Below are 18111 nucleotides of genomic sequence, written 5' to 3'. Positions count from 1 at the left end.
ACCCCACAGAATCAACCACTGTTCTGATTTCTATCACCAGAGATTAGTTTTGCTTGTCCTAAAAATGTATATAAATGGAAACATTCTGTTTGAACTCTTTTGTGTCTGGTTTCTTTCACACAGCAAAATAATTTTGTGCTTCAGCCATATAGCTGTATGTATCAATAAGTGATTCTGTTTTATTGCTAAGTAGGCCATTGTTTGACTGTATCAAAAATTGTGTAATTCATTCACCTATGGATGGATCTAAGATGTTTTTAGCATATGATTATTTGAATAAAGCTGCAATGCACATTCATGTACAGATATTTTTAAGGACTCCTGGGTAAATACCTAGAAGTCAAATTGCTGGGTCACGGGTAGGTGTATGTTTTAGCTTTATAAGGAACTGTCAGAGAGTCCTCCAAAGTTACCGTCCCATTTTACATGCCCACCAACAAAGTATGAGTTCCAGTTCCTCCACACTCTCACCGATATATGATATTGTCAGTTATTTTAATTTTAGTCATTCTAATATTTGTATAACGGGAATTCATCATGATTTTCACTTTGCTTTTCAACAATGTTGAATATCTTTTCATGTGCTTATTGGCCATTTACATATCTTGCATTGTAAAGTGTCTATGAGTCTTATTACCATTTTAACTGGGCTGTCTGCCTTTTTATTATTTTTAGTAATTCTTTACATATTATGAATATGGATTCTTTATCACTGTGAATATTTCCTCATCTGTGGCTTGCTTGTTCATTTTCTTAATTGTATCTTTTGATGAGTAGAAATGTTCATCCTGATGATGTCCAATTCTTATTTTTTTTATTTATAGTTAAAGTTTTTTGTGCTAATTTGGTTGGTGTCTTTGCATTCCCCAAATTTGCAAATACCCTGCTATATTTTTTTCTAAAAGATTCAGGGTTCTAAGTTTACATTTTAGGTCAATGATTCATCTTAAATTATTTTCCGTGGGGGTTAAGTTTATTTTTTATATAAATATCCGGTTTGTTTTAGCACCATTTGTTTAAAAGGTTTTCTTTTCTGCTTTGAATTAATTTGATTCCTTGTTCAAAAATCAATTAACCATATTGTGGAGATTTATTGCCTAACTCTCTACTCTGTTCCATGGATCCATTTGTCTATCCTTATGTCAGTACGATACCATCTTGATTACTGTAGCCTTATAGGAAGTCTGAAAAGCAGTTAGTGTAAGTTGTCCACTTTTAAAAATTTAGAATCAGCTTTCTTCAAAAAGACACTGACATTTTTTCTTGAGATTGTGTTGAATCTACAAAGCAATTTGGAGAAAATCAACTTCTTCTCAATATCCAAGAACTCTAATCTATGAACATGGTATATTTCTCCATTAACGCAGGTGTTATTTCATTTCTCTCAATGATGTTTGTGCAGTGGTCAACATGGAGGTCTTGTGCATCTTTCTTCAGACACATTCCTAGGTATTTGGTGGGTTTTAATGCTATTTTTAAAAGTATTTTTAATCTCACTTTTGTAGGTTTTTGGATACCTTCTTTATCAGATCAAAGAAGTTCCTGTTTATTTCTAGTTAGTTGAAAGTGTTTAATCATATATGTGTTTGAATTTTATCAGATGCTTTTTCTGTATTTATTGAGATGATGGTATGGTTTTTCTCCTTTAGTTCTTTAGTCTCCTTTAGCCACCACCTCATAGTGATGAATTACATCGATTTCTATTGGAGTAGTAAATAAACTTTTCACACCTGGGGTAAATCGCACTTGGTCATTATATACTATTCTTTCTATGTATTGCTGGATTCAATTGGCTAATATTTTATTAAGAATTTTTGCAAATATGTTATTAAGGGATATTGGTCTATAATTTTCTTGTTAGGTTTTCATACCAGGATTATGCTGACTTCATAAAACAAATTGAGAAGTATTCCCTCCTCCTCTGTTTCCTCCAGAGTTTTGTAGGATTATTTTGTGGTATTATTTCTTCCTTAGATATTCGATAGAATTTTCTGGAGAAGCCATTTGAGCCTGAAGATTTTTTGTAAGAAGATTTTTTATTATAAGTTTAATGTCTTTGATAAGACATAGGGCTATTTAGACTTTCTATTCTTGTGTAAGTTTTGGTAATCTGCAATTTTCAAGAAATTTGTTGATTTCATCAAAGTTGTTGAACTTACTGTCATGAAGTCATCCTTAATATTCCCTCATTATCACTTTAATGTCTATATAATCTGCAGTGGTGGCCTCTCTTTAATTCCTGATAGTGATAATTTTTTTTATATTTTCTTTATTAGTCTTTCTAGGGCATTTTGTTAATATTTTCAAAGAAGCAGCTATTGGTTTAATAGGTTTTTCTCTACTGTTTTCTAGTTCATTACTTTTCACTCTCTTTTCTACCTTGGGTTTAATGTACTCTTGTTTTTCTAGCTTCTTAATGTAGAAGTTTAAATCAGTGAATTTGAACCTTTTTTTCCTAATATGTGTTTAAAGCTATAAAGTTTCCTCTAAACACTGCTGTAGCTGCATCTCAGAATTTTTTTTTTTTTTTTTTCCGAGATAGTGTGTCATTCTGTTGCCCAGGCTGGAGTGGAGAGGAGCAATTTTGGCTCACTGCAAGCTCGACATCCCAGGCTCAGGTGACCCTACCACCTCCACCTCCCAAGTGGCTGGGACTATAGGCACATGCCACCATGCCTGACTAATTTTTGGTCTTTTGTAGAGACAGGGTCTTGCCATGTTGCCTAGGCTGATGTTGAACTCCTGGGCTCAAGCGATCTGCCCACCTTTGCCTCCCAAAGTGCTGGGGGCAACCATTCCCAGCCACAAATTTTAATATAGTATCTTTTCATTATTACTCAGGTGAAAATATTTGCTAAGTTATTTTATGATTTCCTATTGACCCATAGGTTATTTAGAAGTGTATTATTTAATTTCCAAATATTTATGAATTTTCTCGATAACCTTTTGTCATTGATTTCTATTTTAGTCATATTGTGGTCAGAGAATAGATTCTATATAAAAATCAAAACACTTAAATTTATTGAAACTTATTTTGTGGCATCTTTACATTTTTTAGGGGTCGATCAAGTATTTTTTGTGTGTTTTAGTGTCATCTATTGAACTTTTAGATATAACTCTTCACATTACTTTTTAGTACAGTAAGCGCTCACTTAATGTCTTCAATAGGTTTTTGGAAACTGTGACTTTAAGTGAAACGACGTAAAGCAGGTTCTCCAATAATGTCATTTTGTTCAACATCATTTCCTTTTTTTTTTGAGATGGAGTTTCATTCTTGTCACCCAGGCTCGAGTACAATGGCACAATCTCAGCTCACTGTAACCTCTGCTTCCCATGTTCAAGCTATTCTCCTGCCTCAACCTCTCAAGTAGCTGGGACTACAGGCACCTGCCACCATGCCCAGCTAATTTTTGTATTTTTTAGTAGAGACAGGGTTTCACCATGTTGGCCAGGCTGGTCTCAAACTCCTGACCTCAAGTTATCTGCCCGCCTCAGCCTCCCAAAGTGCTGGGATTACAGGCGTGAGCCACCGCGCCCGGCCCAATATCATTTCATTTCTCAATGAATTTTCCATGTGCACTTAAAAAGAACAAGTATTCTACTATTGTTGGATATAGTGTTCAAAATGTCAAAGTCATTTTGATGATGTCATTCAAATATTCTGTAACCTTACTGGTTTTGTCTGCTCATTCTATCAGTTACTCAGAGAGTGGTGTTGAAGTGACTAAGTATGATAATGGATTTGTCATTTTCCCCTTTAATTCTGTCAGCTTTTGCTTCATGTATTTGGGGCTCTGTTATTAGGTGAATACACATTTAGGATTATTACGGTTTCATGAATTTTCCTTTTATATTTATGAAATGTCCCTTTTGGCATTTATATCTTTATTTTGAAGGCTACCTCTTCTGATATTGATATAGCCACCCCAGCTTTCTTGTGGTTAGGGTTTTCACGGTATATCTTGTTCCACCCTTTTACTTTCAACCTGTCTTTATATTTAAGTTGTTTCTTATTATATAAACAATGTACAGTTGGATCTTTCTTCTTTATCCAGCCTGGCAGTCTCTGCATTTTAATTGGAGAGTTTTTCTATTTACACCCAATGTAGTAACTGTTATGCTTTGGCTTGAGTCTACCATCTTGGTATGTTTTCTATTTGTCACCTTTGTTTTGTTTTGTTTTGTGCTCTGCTCCACTTTTCCTGAGTTTTTTAGGGGTCAATCAAGTATTTTTTTGTGTGTTTTAATGTCATCTATTGAACTTTTAGATATAACTCTTCACACTTTTTTAGTAAAGTAAGCTCTCACTTAATATCATCAATAGGTTCTTGGAAACTGACTTCAAGTGAAACAATGTACAGCAGGTTCTCAAATAATGTCGTCGTGTTCAACATTATTTCATCATAATGATGAAAAAATGGTTTTATTATATGTCATTTTACTCAGTCACATTTTCCAAAAACCTACTGATAACATTAAGTGAGGTTTACTTTAGTTACTCTAGGCAGGGGTGTCCAATCTTCTTTCTTCTCTGGGCCACATTGGAAGAAGAAGAATTGCCTTGGGCTACACATAAAATACACTAATACTAACATTTTAGCTGATGAGCAAAAAAAAAAAAAAAATCGCAAAAAAAATCTCATAATGTGCCGGGCACATGCCTGTAATCCCAGCACTTTGGGAAGCTGACGGGGGCAGATCACTTGAGGCCAGGAGTTTAAGACCAGCCTGGCCGACATGGTGAAACCCCGTCTCTACTAAAAATACAAAGCTGGGCGTGGCGCTGTTTGCCTGTAATCCCAGCTACTCGGGAGGCTGAGGCAGGCGAATCACTTGAGCCTGGGAGGCAGAGATTGCAGTGAGCCAAGATAGCACCACTGCACTCCAGCCTGGGTGACACAGTGCGACTCTGTCTCAAAAAAAAAAAAAACTCTTAAGGTTTTAAGAAAGTTTACAAATTTGTGTTGGGCTGCCTTCAAAGTCATCCTGGGATACATGTGGCCACGGGTGGACAAGCTTGCTCTAGAGATTAAAAGGCACATTTTTATAAAACATTTGACTGATTTTGGCTGCTAATTCTATCTGTCACTCAGAGAGTGGTGTTAAAATGCCTAGCTATGATCAAGGATTTGTCTATTTTCCCCTAAAATATTAGAGCAATATATTTCATTTACTCCCTCCTGTCTTGTGCTTTTGTTTTCATATATTTTACTTTTATTTATTCTATAAATCCCACAATTCCTTGTTATTGTTTTGCTTTGGTCAACATTTATAAGTAGACATAGGTCTAGAGGTATACATACATCTTTCTAATACTCTTCGTACCTTCCTGCAGATCTGGGATTTCATCTGGCATCATTACTCTTCAGCTTGAAGACCTTCTTTTAGCATTTCTTGAAGTGTAGATCTACTTGTGATTAATTCTCTCAGTCTTTGTTTGAAAATTTGTATTTGCCTTTATTTAAAGATACTTTTTTTCTGGATATATGTTTCTTGCTGGAAAGGGTTTTTAATTTTGTCTTTTTATTTTTTCATTTAAAATTTAATATTGTTCCATTGTCATCTGCCCTCCATCGGTTCTAATAAAAATAATCAATGAAAATTGACTCTTATCATCGTTCCTCTGTGTATGTGTTTTTTCTCTCTAGCTGATTTTAAGATTTTATCTTGGCCGGGCACAGTGGCTCTCGCCTGTAATCCCAGCACTTTGGGAGGCCAAGGTGGGCAGATCAGGAGGTCAGAAGATCGAGACCATCCTGCTCAACATGGTGAAACCCAGTCTCTACTAAAAATACAAAAAATTAGCTGGGTGTGGTGGCGCATCCCTGTAATTCCAGCTACTCAAGAGGCTGAAGCACAAGAATCGCTTGAACCCAGGAGGTGGAGGTTGCAGTGAGCCGAGATTGCGCCACTGCACTCCAGCCTGGTGACAGAGTGAGACTACATCTCAAAAAAGAAAAAAAAAAGATTTTATCTTTATCCATGGCTTTTAGCCATTTGAATATGATGTATCTAAGTGTGGTTTTATTTGTGTTTATTCCATTTGAAATTCACTGAGTCTTAGATCTGCGGGTTTCCTTCATTAATCTTGTTCAATTCTCTGCTATTATTTCTGCTAAATATATCTTCTGCTCCATCCTCTCACTTCCCCTTTTAGTGCTCCACTTACACATATATTGGACCATTTGCTATCACCCCAGAGATCCCCTCTGTTTTGTTATATCCTTTTCTCTTTGTGTTTCAGTTTGAATAATTTCTCTTAACCTGTCTTCAAATTCACTGATTGGTTGTTCCCTCTGTTGTTCCCAGTCTGCTGATGAGCTCAGCAGATTTTGCATTTCTAATAAAGTATTTTGCATTTCTAAAATTTGCATTTGGTTCTTTGTTGTAATTTCATATCGCTGTTGAAATAACCCCATATACTTACACATGTTGTCCATCTTTTTGGATGGATTATTTAACATATGTTTTATAGCTATATTAACATCTCTGTCTGATAATTCCAACATCTAGGCCATCTCTGCATCTGATTCTATTGATTATTTCTCCTCTTGACCATGAGCACATTTTGGTTTTTTGTGTGTGTCCCTTGTCATTTTTTTATATCTGGCTTTGTCTGTAAAATAATAGTTGACACTAAAGTTAATGATGTTCATACCCATACAGGACGTTCCCTTTCTTTTATCAAACCACTACTGTGGAGGGTTGACCTAGGTTTTGACTTCAGTGCAGCTTCAGTTGGCAGGTGGGTTCAGACTCATTATGTGATTGGGTGTCTTAAGATACTAATATGAGTACTAATGTGAGAACTCAAGATATACAAGATACACACGTAGTCTGCCAGGCCACAAGTGACCACTAAATGTTCAATAAAATGTTGGCTGTTTCCTCTTTCCCCATAGCATATTCTCCCTTCCCTCCTCAATCTACCAGGGACAAAAGCAGTCATATGCCTAGTCTGCTCTCTGGAATTTAGTACATTTACATTTCTTTATAATCTCAGCTCTCTGATGAGTTTTTTAAACTATGACTTATGTAGCTTATCTACTTGTTCTCACTGTTAGGATGAATTCATAAATGTTATTAAGAAAATAGACTCATAATTTTAAAAAGTTATCTCTATCTCATATGTTATAGCAAAATAAATTCGACAGATTTTAATTTTAAGTGTTAAAAAAGGATACATGAAAGATATTAAAAGAATTTAAAGATGGGCTTCTTATAGTCTTCAGGTATGGAGAGATTGTCTAAACGTGACCCCAAGATGAGAAAACAAAGCAAATTGATGGATTTGACTAAACAGAAACCTAGAACTTATATATGGCAAAAATATATAAAAGAATTAAAACGTAAATGAAAATTTGTGAGAAATTATTTCTAAAATCTATGAGAGATGAGGGGTTAATACCATTAACATTTAAAGAACTATTAAAAATAAAAAGAGGCCAGACACAGTGGCTCACACCTGTAATCCTAGCACGTTGGGAGGCCAATGCTGGAGGATCATGAGGTCAAGAGATTGAGACCATCCTGGCCAACACGGTGAAATCCCATCTCTACTAAAAATACAAAAATTAACTGGGCATGGTGGCTCATGCCTGTAGTCCCAGCTACTCGAGGCAGGAGAATCCCTTGAACCTGGGAAGTTGAGGTGGAAGTGAGCCGAGATTGTGCCACTGCACTCCAGCCTGGCGACAGAGCGAGACTCCATCTCAATAAATAAATAAATAAAATAAAAAATAAAAAGACAAACACCTCAATAGAAAATGAACTAAGGAAATGAATAATTTGCAAAAGGAGAAAAATAAATGGCCAAAAATAATGAAAATAATTCATTTTAATTAGCAATTAAATTGATGTGAATTGAAACCACAGTAAGATACCATTTTTCACTTATTGATCTAGTGAAATTTGAGAATAATAATAATCCTTTATTCCATAAATATTTGTTTGGGGCTGGGGGTGTTGGCTCACACCTGTATTTCCAGCACTTTCGGAGGCCAAGGCAGGTAGATCGCCTGAGGTCAGGAATCTGCGACCAGCCTGGCCAAAATAGTGAAACCCCATCTCTACTGAAAATACAAAAAATTAGCTGGGCGTGGTAGCAGGTGCCTATAATCCCAGCTACTCAGGAGGCTGAGGCAGGAGAATCGCTTGAACCTGGGAGGCAGAGGTTGCAGTGAGCTGAGATCGTGCCTTTGCACTCCAGCCTGGGCAACAAGAGTGAAACTCCATCTCAAAAAAAGAAAAAAAAATTATATATATATATATATATATATATATATATATATATATATATATATGGGGTATAGCTCAGTGGTAGAGCATTTGACTGCAATAAATATTTGTTGGGCACGTTCTACATGGGAGATCCATATGTATCCCTGGGCACTGGACTCCAGAAATGCCCTTGACAGTGTCTGCCCTTAAGACCTTCTCTTCTAGTGTGGAGAGACACAAGGTGATAGGTGTTAGGAAGAAAGATAAGGAATAATAAGGGAGTGGGGAAGCAATGGAGAAAAAGGTGTTATTCTTTCACATAGGATGAACAGGGAGGCAATTCTGATAAAATGGTATCTGAGCAGACACCTGAAGAAAGTGACGGTGTAGCCATTTGGATGTCCTGGGAAACATATTTCAGGCAGAGGGATTAGCACGTGCAAAGGCTGCTGAGGTGAGAACATGCCTGACACATTGAGGAAACAGTAGGAAAGTCATCGTGGCTGAAACTGAGAGAGTTGGCGGCACGTACAATGGAGTCAGAGCTATGTTATTCCTGGAAACGAGGACTATCATAGACTGCTGGTGGAAATATTCACTGGCAACCCCTTTTGAAGGACAACTCAACACTATTTACAAGAAGCTTTAAACCACACACATTCTTTGACTCCAAATTTCAAATTTCCTGAATGTATTCTGATGCAATAACCAGTGCACAAAGATGTACATACAAGAATGTCCATTATAGCAGGAATTTACAATTGGAAACAACCTAAATGTTCAACATCTGTGACTATTTAAATTGTGGTATAAGTCATGAAACAGAATTCTATATAGCCATTAAGATCAATGGGCTGGGCACGGTGGCTCACGCCTGTAATCCCAGCACTTTGGGAGGCCGAGGCGGGCAGATCACGAGGTCAAGAGCTGGAGACCATCCTGGCCAACATGGTGAAACCCCGTCTCTACTAAAAATACAAAACTTAGCCAGACGTGGTGGCATGTGCTTGTAATCCCAGCTACTTGGAAGGCTGAGGCAGAAGAACTGCTTGAACCCAGAAGGTGGAGGTTGCAGTGAGCCGAGATTCCAGCCTGGGTGACAGAGCAAGACTCCATCACAGAAAAAAGAAAGAAAGAAAGAAAGAAAGATTGAGCTGCATGGGCATAATCTCCTAATCTTATGGTCATTAGTGAACATGAGTTAGTTGATAATTTTTTTTTTTTTTTAGTTATAAAAAAGAGTTAGAAGTAGAATCCACCACTTCTTGCTGTTTCTCTTTTTGTAGACCCCATGGTGGGGCAGAGGGAGAAACAGCTTATTATAAGCCTCATGTTCTAGAATCCCTTTATTCTGGCACAAACATTAGTAACTGCAAATGCCATGATTAGGATTCTGAGAAAATTAATTCTACAACAGAAAACTCTTTTAAACATTTTTAAATTTGGCTGGGCACGGTGGCTCATGTCTGTAATCCCAGCACTTTGGGAGGATGAGGCGGGTGGATCACAAGGTTGGGAGTTCAAGACCAGCCTGGCCAAGATGGCGAAACCCCATCTCTACTAAAAATACAAAAAATTAGCAGGGCATGGTGGCGGGTGCCTTATAATCCCAGCTACTTGGGAGGCTGAGGCAGAGAATTGCTTGAACCCAGGAGGCAGAGGTTGCAGCGAGCCAAGATGGCACCACTGCACTCTAGCCAGGGCGACAGAGCAAGACTGCATTTCAAAATAAATAAATAAATAAATTTTTTGCTCTTTTCAAATTCAGAAAGATTTTAAGAAATGACAATAGTCTATGCTGTAAGGGGGTGAGGCGGCACTGCCATTTACTGCTTATGGGAGGCCAAACTTGAACCATCCTGGAAAGGAGCTTGGCACTAAGAATTAAGGCTCTTCAAATGATTCCTCCCCCCAGCCCCCATTTGGTCCAGCAAATGCTCCTTTAATAAAGTATCCAAAAAAGCCTGAAATGCAGACAACAATTTGTGCATAAGAGTGTTCCTTACAGCATTCTTTTAAATGAGAAAAAAATGAACAATCAGAAACAAAAAAGTGAAATACCAAAGAAGTGTAAAGGCCCAACACTAAGGAAACAGTGAAGTAAATTATGGTATGTCCAAAATTGGAAATATTGAGTAGTCAAATATTATGTTTATGAAGTTATTCTTAGCAATTTACGAAAATGCTTGGGATAAAATATTAAGCGAAATAAAGCAAGATTCAACACCATGCATGTGGTGTGCTCTCAACTGCTACATGAACATGCAAAAGAAAAAAGACCAGAAAGAAATAAAAACATCATTAGGAGTTCATTCTAAATAATTAAAGTATAGATGAATGGCATTTTTTCCTTACAACAGTTTTCTACTTCCCTACAGTTTAAATGTTTTCCAGAGTTGATAATTACAAAAAAAAAAAATCCACCTGTTAAAAATTTCAGAAACTGAATACGCTTCAGCTTGCTATTCCACTCTGCCCCAGCCCAGGCCCAGGTGCTACAGTGGGAAATGGGTGCATCTGAAGGGGGCGGGTGACGTGGCTGCAGGGCAGGAATAAAACGGCCACTCTCCTCCCCTGAGCCTAGCTCCTGGAAGGAGGCTTGCCCACTAGCTCCTACAGATTCCAGCCCAGCATAGAGCCAGGCCCAAGCCACCACCCCTGTTCCAGGGACAGGTGGGCAGGTGGAATGGGTGTTCTCAGCCCTAGCTCCATGTCACAATCACTCACAAGCATTTCAAACTTGGTGCCCAGGCCCCCTACAAGAGGCCCCCTACAGACTCTGGCTGGCCCTGGAGCCAGCATTTCAAAGTTATCCATCTGATTCTCTTTGCCCAGGGCCTAGCCCTGCTGGGGAAGTAAAATCCTGGTAAAAGGGGCACAAAAACCAGAGGGCTAGAGATGGCGGAGGATGGTCGGAGGGTGCTTGGACTGGGCCTGTGCCACTTGCCTGAACCTGGGAGCAGGACTGCCCCTCTCATTGGCAGTCCCAGCCAGGGCAGCAAGCCAGACCAGGCCCCACAGGCCAAGGCTGGGAGGCGCAGGCCAGCACTGGGCTGCAGTCACAGGGAGTCTCGGGCGAACAGAGCAGGTGCCTGGACAGGACTGCTCTTCCATCATTCATACCCACCTTTGATGAGTACTGATCAGACGGCAGGTGGGCAGGGCCCACACGGTGCACCCTGTAGGCCTCACAGGGCCAGGAGACTGGCACCGTGATGCCCACTCCCTCCAGACGCAGATGTACTTTTCTTTCTTTCTTTTTTTTTTTTTTGAGACAGAGTTTCACTCTTGTTGCCCAGGCTGGAGTGCAATGGCGCAATCTCGGCTCACCACAACCTCCACCTCCCGGGTTCAAGCGATTCTCCTGCCTCAGCCTCCCAAGTAGCTGAGATTACAGGCATGTGCCACCATGCCCAGCTGATTTTGCATTTTTAGTAGAGACGGGGTTTCTCTATGTTGGTCAGGCTGGTCTCAAACTCCCAACCTCAGGTAATCCGCCCGCCTCGGCCTCCCAAAGTGCTGGGATTACAGGCGGGAGCCACTGCACCTGGTCAGATGTGCTTTTCTTCACGTTAAACTTTTTATTATAACTGTGGGTTTGCACGCAGTTGAGTTCCTTCACCAGTCTCCCCCAGTGGCAAGTGGCTAACATCCTGTGGAAATACAGCACAGTATTTCAAGCAGGCTATAACACGGGGACAGCAGCAACCTTGTTCAGATTTCCCCAGTTCTGCCTGCTCTCATTGGTGTGTGTGTGTTCAGTTCTGTACAACTTGATCACATTGTTTGAAATATGTGAATACACCCATCTCATTTGCATCTCCTGGTCCTGCCACCTCCCTCTTCTGCAGGAGGCATCTTTTTGCCTCAGGCGGCCTGGACTCTCAAGAATGAAAACTCGGCTTTAGAATTCCAAAACCAGGCTTTCTGAGTTTGCACCTGGCCCACGGGCTTGAAAGGCAGACTTTGTTGAGATGAGGATTTTGTAAATCTTTTATCTCTTAATATTTCAAGATAGGAGTAGATGTCCTGGAATACAGAGGTGTCTGTGAGGGGCTCTGTCTGCCCTTAGGAGCCTCTGGGTATAGGCTGCTCTGCAGGGCAGGCCCAGCAGGATAGACACGGTGGAGCAGAGGGGCTGAGTTTGTCCTTCCTGGGTTTCTCTGTGGCAGAAATAGAGCCCAGAGGCTTCTTATGCCTCAAATGGGGATGCAGAGCTTGACTGAGGTATGGGCAGGGGCAGGCTGGCCCCCCCATGGCCCACCGGGGCTGGGCTTTTCCCATGACAGCCAGGTCTGGGGGTTGTGGTAAGGCCCAGAGTCCTGCCAGCTGCAGGCCTGGTGCCTGTGCCCATGGCACGCCAAGCAGGCTCCATCAGCCTCCCTAGCTGGACAGTGGCCAGCTCACACCGGGGCCAGCCGCTGCCTATGAACCTCGCCCTTTGCTCTTGCTTTGGGGCCCTCTGGGACTCCCAAAGAATTCAGATCTCGGAAGACCACACATTCTCTTGGGGTGTGTGAGTAGGGACCAAGCAGCCTTGAGACAGGGCCCGAGGGTGACCTGAAGCTAGAAAGCAGAGGGCAGCACTAGCAGGGAAAGCCTGTGTTGTCCTGGGTTGGCTTTTGGTGCTCCGCTGGAGAGGGCAGGCTGCAGCAGGGACAGGCACGTGCTGCCAGCCGTGGAAGCCGGAGACTCCGGGTAAGGGCAGGAATTGGCTCACTGTGCTACCCTCTCTACTTCTGTGTGAATTTAAACTCTTCGTAAACAAAAGTCAAGAAATCAAATAGAGCCTAACAATTATTGGATCAGACTGGGATTACAGGATGGAAGTAATACAGGTTTTCTCTGCCACACAGTGGGATGGGCTCTCAAGAAGATGGGAGCAGATAAAAAGAAAAAGCTATGATTGAGTTCTGGTCTGGACAAGGAGGTATAGACCCATTTCTCCAGCTCCCCTCTTCTAAGCTCAGCTACAAACCCTGGAAATGGCACCAGAGATAGAGTCAAAGGAGGGCGTGGAAAGATGGAAGAGGAAGGTAAGCGCGTCAAGACCCTAGGACAGGAGGAACAGCCCAGCAGCAGGGCACCTTACAACCCCACCCGGCAGGAGGACGTGGTCCAGGCCGGGCTGGGGGCTGGGGGCTAGGCTCTGCCCAGGAGCCCAGGACTTGGGTTTCTCCAAGGGCTGGGAGTCGGGAAATGGGAAGGTGGAGAGGACCCTCAACCAAGGCTCTCACCAGGGAGGGGACACTGTCCCCTTGGCCAAGTCACTATCCTCTGCTCAGCCTCAGCTCCCTGACCTGAGAAATGAGGGAATTATGCCCATAGGGCAGCCGAGAGCACTGAATACAATCATGCACAGAGGAGGCCAGCGCACAGGAGGGCCTGGCACACAGGAGAAGCCGAGTAGCTGGTTTTGAATATGCGGATGCTGATAGGGTGCTTCCCACAAATCGACAGTAGGAATACCTAGCCCTTGGCGTAGACAGGGCTGTGGAATAAGCGTTTGCTTGCTTATTGCTTACCATGACCCTATGAAGTAGGTCCCATTATTATCCTCACTTTACAGATGAGGAAACCAAGGCTCAGAGAGGTTAAGTAACTTGGTGAAGGCCACACAGCTGGTTAGACAGAGCTGGGGTGTGAACATAGCACCTTTACTCCTAATGATAATGTTTAACTTTGTTTTCCTACAACTGAGGCTGAGACCTTCCTCCTTGGCCCCCAGCCCAGGTGGTCCCTCCAGGGACCAGCCTGAGGGTAGGAGGAGTGTCCCAACCCCAGTCACCCAAAAGCCAAAGTCAAGGGCAAAACACGTACCAGGAGGCCCTCACCCGGCCCAAGGCTGGTCAAGACTGCATGGCAGTCACGACGGTATAGACGTGGGTGGCATTGGTGTGGACTCCCTTCTCCAGCCCCCTTACCTGAGGGGTGCCTCTCCCAGCCTCGCGGCCTCAGCTGAGCACCCACTGGCTCTGTGACCTTGGCAAGTGGCCTCATGTCCCTGGGGCTCAGCCTCCCCATCTGTAAGGAGAGGCCCACAGAGCTGCTGTTGGATTATAAGAGATGTGACTGACAAGGGCTCAGCACGCAGACCTTGCCCATAGGGTGATTATTGTTGTCAAAGACACAGCCTGAGGCCCTGGGTGGAGCACAGCCTCCAGCCCAGCAGGTGTGAGCCATACCCCATCCCGTCTGCTGACAGAAATGTGCCTCCCTCTTTTCTGCTGGCCTGAACAGCACCACAGCACTTGTCACCAGCCCAGGCCTTCAGCCAGGTGGACGACCTGGTGTACCACACACCCATGGTGTGACCCTGTCCCTGGATGCTCTGAGAATAGAGGAGATGCTGTTGCTGCCCCATAGGCCCTGGGCCCAGAGAAGGACGCAGACTCCTCCCACCAGGAGCCAAGGTTACCCTCCCCCAACCCTGAGTGTCTAATTCCCACGAACTCTCCTTCTTAAAGGAGGGCAGGGAGAGAAACGAACAGCAAGAACCATAGCTATTTGGTGCAAAAAGAAACGTGGTCACTGAGAGATTCCAGGAAGTGTCAAGGCCAGCCAGGTTTACCGCTGCCGTGCTGAGCCCTGGCCTAGGGACAGGTGAGCCCCCTCCCCACAGTGCCACAGGGGCGGGCAGGGCCTGCTCCATAAAGCCATCATTGTGTCCCACCTCTGTGCCCCCACCCAGGGCCCGGGTCCCACCAAGGCCCTGGGGCCCTGCCCAAGAAGAAGCTTCCATCAGAACAGTCAACTGACTTGTCAAGCCAACTGTAATCTAGCAAGAGGGCGACTCTTTAATAGCAGTGGCGATGAATGGAGGTAAAAAGAGCAGGACCTGGTGACGAGGAGCATGGGGGCCGGCCATCATCCTCCAGGAAGGGCACTGGCACCAAGTGAATTCCACAGACAGAGGGGTGGCCAGTCCAGCCAGCAGAGAGTGGAGCAGAGTGGGAGCTGGTCCCGAGCCCCAACGATCAGGCAAGGCTGCCTGGAGGGCACTGACCATGCCCTTCTAGGCATCAGGGCCCAGGACTGAGGCCACCTTCTTCCACCTGTGCCCCGGCCCCTGGTGGCTTAGGCAGCTGGGGTGGGAGCAGCAAGCACCCCATGGTTGAGTGACTTTTCTCGGACTAGAACATTTCACCCTCAAAAGAGCCGCCATCCACCCCACCCCACCCCCAGGGAACATCCCCAACAGTGGAGCTTGTCAAGCTGCTCAGTGCCCTCTCTGGTGGCTCCCCCGACCCGGCCGAGTCGGAACCCCTCTGGGCAGTGAATGACAGCCATCTGGGAGGAGACCCACTGGCCACCGGAAGCTGCGAGCAGTCACCCCCCACCCCATCCAGGCTGTGATCCCGCCTCCACCCTAGTCGTCTAAAGACATGTCCCTTGGGAAGTTTCAAGCAGAAGAACCAGGACGATGCCCTTGGGGCAACGTTACCAGGTCCCTGTCCTGCCTCCCAAGCTGGCAGAACCCGCCAGGCCTGCCCACAGTCCCGCTGCCCGGGGAGGAGGGTGGGCTCCACTGGACAGACTCCGAATCCCGGCCAGGCAGCAGTCCAAGCCCCCCACTTGCCAACAACCCCACGTCACACGCGAGGGCAGGGGGCCAGCCAGGGGGAGGTCACCGAGCCAGCAGGGCGGGGGGGGCGGGCAAGGGCCGGGGAAGCCCAGGACCACGCTGCCCCTACGAATTGCTCAGGTTCTCCTCTTCTGTTTATCCTACCCTCTTCCCCTAAGGACTGAAGCGGGCCTGGAGGGCCTAGAGAAAGGGCACAAAGAACAGCGAGGCCCTGGGCGGGCGTGGAGGGAGGGGAATGGCCCTTCCGAAGCCCCGGGCCTCTTCCAGCGCGGTCCTCGAACCGAACCGCAGGACCCCTGCTGTCCCCGGGCAGCGGCCGGAGCGCGTCCCTCGGGTCCTGGGAAGACCTGCCGCGTCTGCGGGCTGCCTGGGAGCCCAGGCGCCCCGCGGTGCTGGGGGAGGAGCCCGGCACGGGGCCGCTGGGCGGCAAAGGGGCCGCGGGCTCCCTGGAGGAGGCGGCTGCGGACGGGGCCTGGCGACCTCGGAGAAGGTGGCGTCCACGGCGCGCAGCCCGGCGCCCCAAGCCTGCCGCCGGGTCGGGGTCGGGGCCGGGGCCGGGCCCCGCGGGTCCGCGCGAGCCGGAGTCCCCTCTAAAAGTTTGTCCCCAAACGAAACCCCTCTCTCTGCCCCGCGTGGGCAGCGGGGCCAGCCCCACGGGAGGCTCTGAGGACAGACACGACTGCCCTCCTCCACCCCTTGGCAAACAACAATGGGCGGCCGCCGGACGAACGACGAGGGAAGCGAGTGTGGAAAATCCCCCAATTTTTTGCAAAGTCAACCGCGGGCGCTCGGGGGCCGGGCCGCGTGCTGCCCCCGCGCGGCCGTCCGCGGGACTGTGCGCCGGGAGGGGGCGCCGCTGTTGATCTCGTGGTTCTCAGACTCTGAGACCGCACGGTGGGCCGGGAATGAGGCTTCATTCCTGAAGCCGAATGTTAATGCCTCTTCTGGGATCATCACAGCCTGCCACTAAGCCGTGTTCTTTTACTTTTCTTTGCCATTAAGTCAGAGATCACGCATTAAAGAATTGGTGAAGTGGATCTTCAGGGGACAAAGCCACTGAGCAGAAGAGCTGCCAGTGCTTTTCCTTGGACCCCACAAGCAGTCAGGGCCAGAAGCTGCCCCTAGCAAACACTTAGCTCATATGCACTCTCGGGGCTGGGGCAAACCTTGGCCACGCAGGAGATCACCCAGGGAAGAAAGGAAACAGCGCGCAGAGCGCGCCTCCTGAGACCCTGGCTGTGTCCGCTGACCTCCTGGAACCCCACGCCAGCCCCAGACTGTGCGTTTCTATCCATTTTCCAAGACATGACACTGAGGACTCATCGCGGGGAGTAGCGGGAAGTGGTGGGGAGTAGCGTGATGCAAGCTGCCCCGCCAACGAGGGCTCGAGCTGCCTTCCACTCGGCTCAAGTGTCCACTGATTGATGGGTGGCTCATCTGACTTGACTTTCAGAGCCCAGAAACTCACCTACAGCCTTAGGGTCTCAGGTGCCTGTGCAGGGCTTCAATCAAAGTGGAAGACTGAGCAAAGTCCTGTAGCCAGCCAGGCAGATTTCCCTCCTCTTAAAAGAATTCTAGAAAGAAAGGGCTTCCTGGCTAATGTGAGTGCTTCCCATCAGCCAGTGTGGCAGGTATGAAGTTGGATTAAATAGCTTGTTCTGGGAGATGTTGCTCCATGGGTCAGGCTGCTCTGGCTCCCATTCAAGGGTGGGACCTTATCACAGGCACTTCGTCCCTGCCTGGGCCTCAGTTTCCCCCTTGGGACAGTGAGATCATCACAGGGTGGAGCCATGGCCCAAGTACCGATGGCTTCGTTGGCCTTCGGAGCTGCTCCAGCTTTCCCTTGAACACTCTGGGCCCACGTTCCCCCTTGGTGGCAGTGACGGTCACCAGGCTCTCAGGAGTGGCCCCTGTAGACGCTCTCATCCCTGGCCTAGGGAGCTGGGGCAAGTGCAGAGGTGGGGAAGGGGAGGGTTCTGGGGCTCACAGCAGGAATCAGGATCCCAGCTCTGCTGACTCTCATGGGGTGAGAGTGGTTGACCTTGGAACCAGGGTCTTAACCCCTTTGAACCTCAGTTTTCTCTTCTGTAAATGGATATCACAGCCTACCCCCGCAGATTTGCTGATGGAATTGGAAATGACACCTCTACAATGCCTGGCACCCAGCAGGTCTCCAAAAGAGCAGCCTTAATTATGATGTAGCACGAGGATCCTTATCTGGGTAAGGACATCTGGGGGGTGGACCCGGGGCAGCTGTGCTCCCCTAGGCCACACAGGAAGGCTCCCCAGGGCTCAGGCACAGACTG

General features: G+C 45.7%; 3 annotated features.

Annotated features, from left to right (window-relative positions):
* Positions 14771–15703: an enhancer, noted in NCBI's record as "H3K4me1 hESC enhancer chr2:129080477-129081409 (GRCh37/hg19 assembly coordinates)". NCBI's record gives its function as "activates a minimal SCP1, AML or CMV promoter by ChIP-STARR-seq in naive H9 embryonic stem cells {active_cell/tissue: H9 hESC(naive)}" and the evidence as "EXISTENCE:reporter gene assay evidence [ECO:0000049][PMID:30033119]".
* Positions 16170–16379: a silencer, noted in NCBI's record as "silent region_11951". NCBI's record gives its function as "represses an Ori minimal core promoter by ATAC-STARR-seq in GM12878 lymphoblastoid cells {active_cell/tissue: GM12878}" and the evidence as "EXISTENCE:reporter gene assay evidence [ECO:0000049][PMID:35858748]".
* Positions 16420–16739: a silencer, noted in NCBI's record as "silent region_11950". NCBI's record gives its function as "represses an Ori minimal core promoter by ATAC-STARR-seq in GM12878 lymphoblastoid cells {active_cell/tissue: GM12878}" and the evidence as "EXISTENCE:reporter gene assay evidence [ECO:0000049][PMID:35858748]".

The sequence above is a fragment of the Homo sapiens genome, chromosome 2, assembly GCF_000001405.40.
Source record: "Homo sapiens chromosome 2, GRCh38.p14 Primary Assembly".
In the NCBI taxonomy this organism is placed as follows: Eukaryota; Metazoa; Chordata; class Mammalia; order Primates; family Hominidae; genus Homo; species Homo sapiens.
The sequence above is the reverse complement of the archived record's forward strand: the minus strand, read 5'-3'. Positions and strand labels throughout refer to the sequence as shown.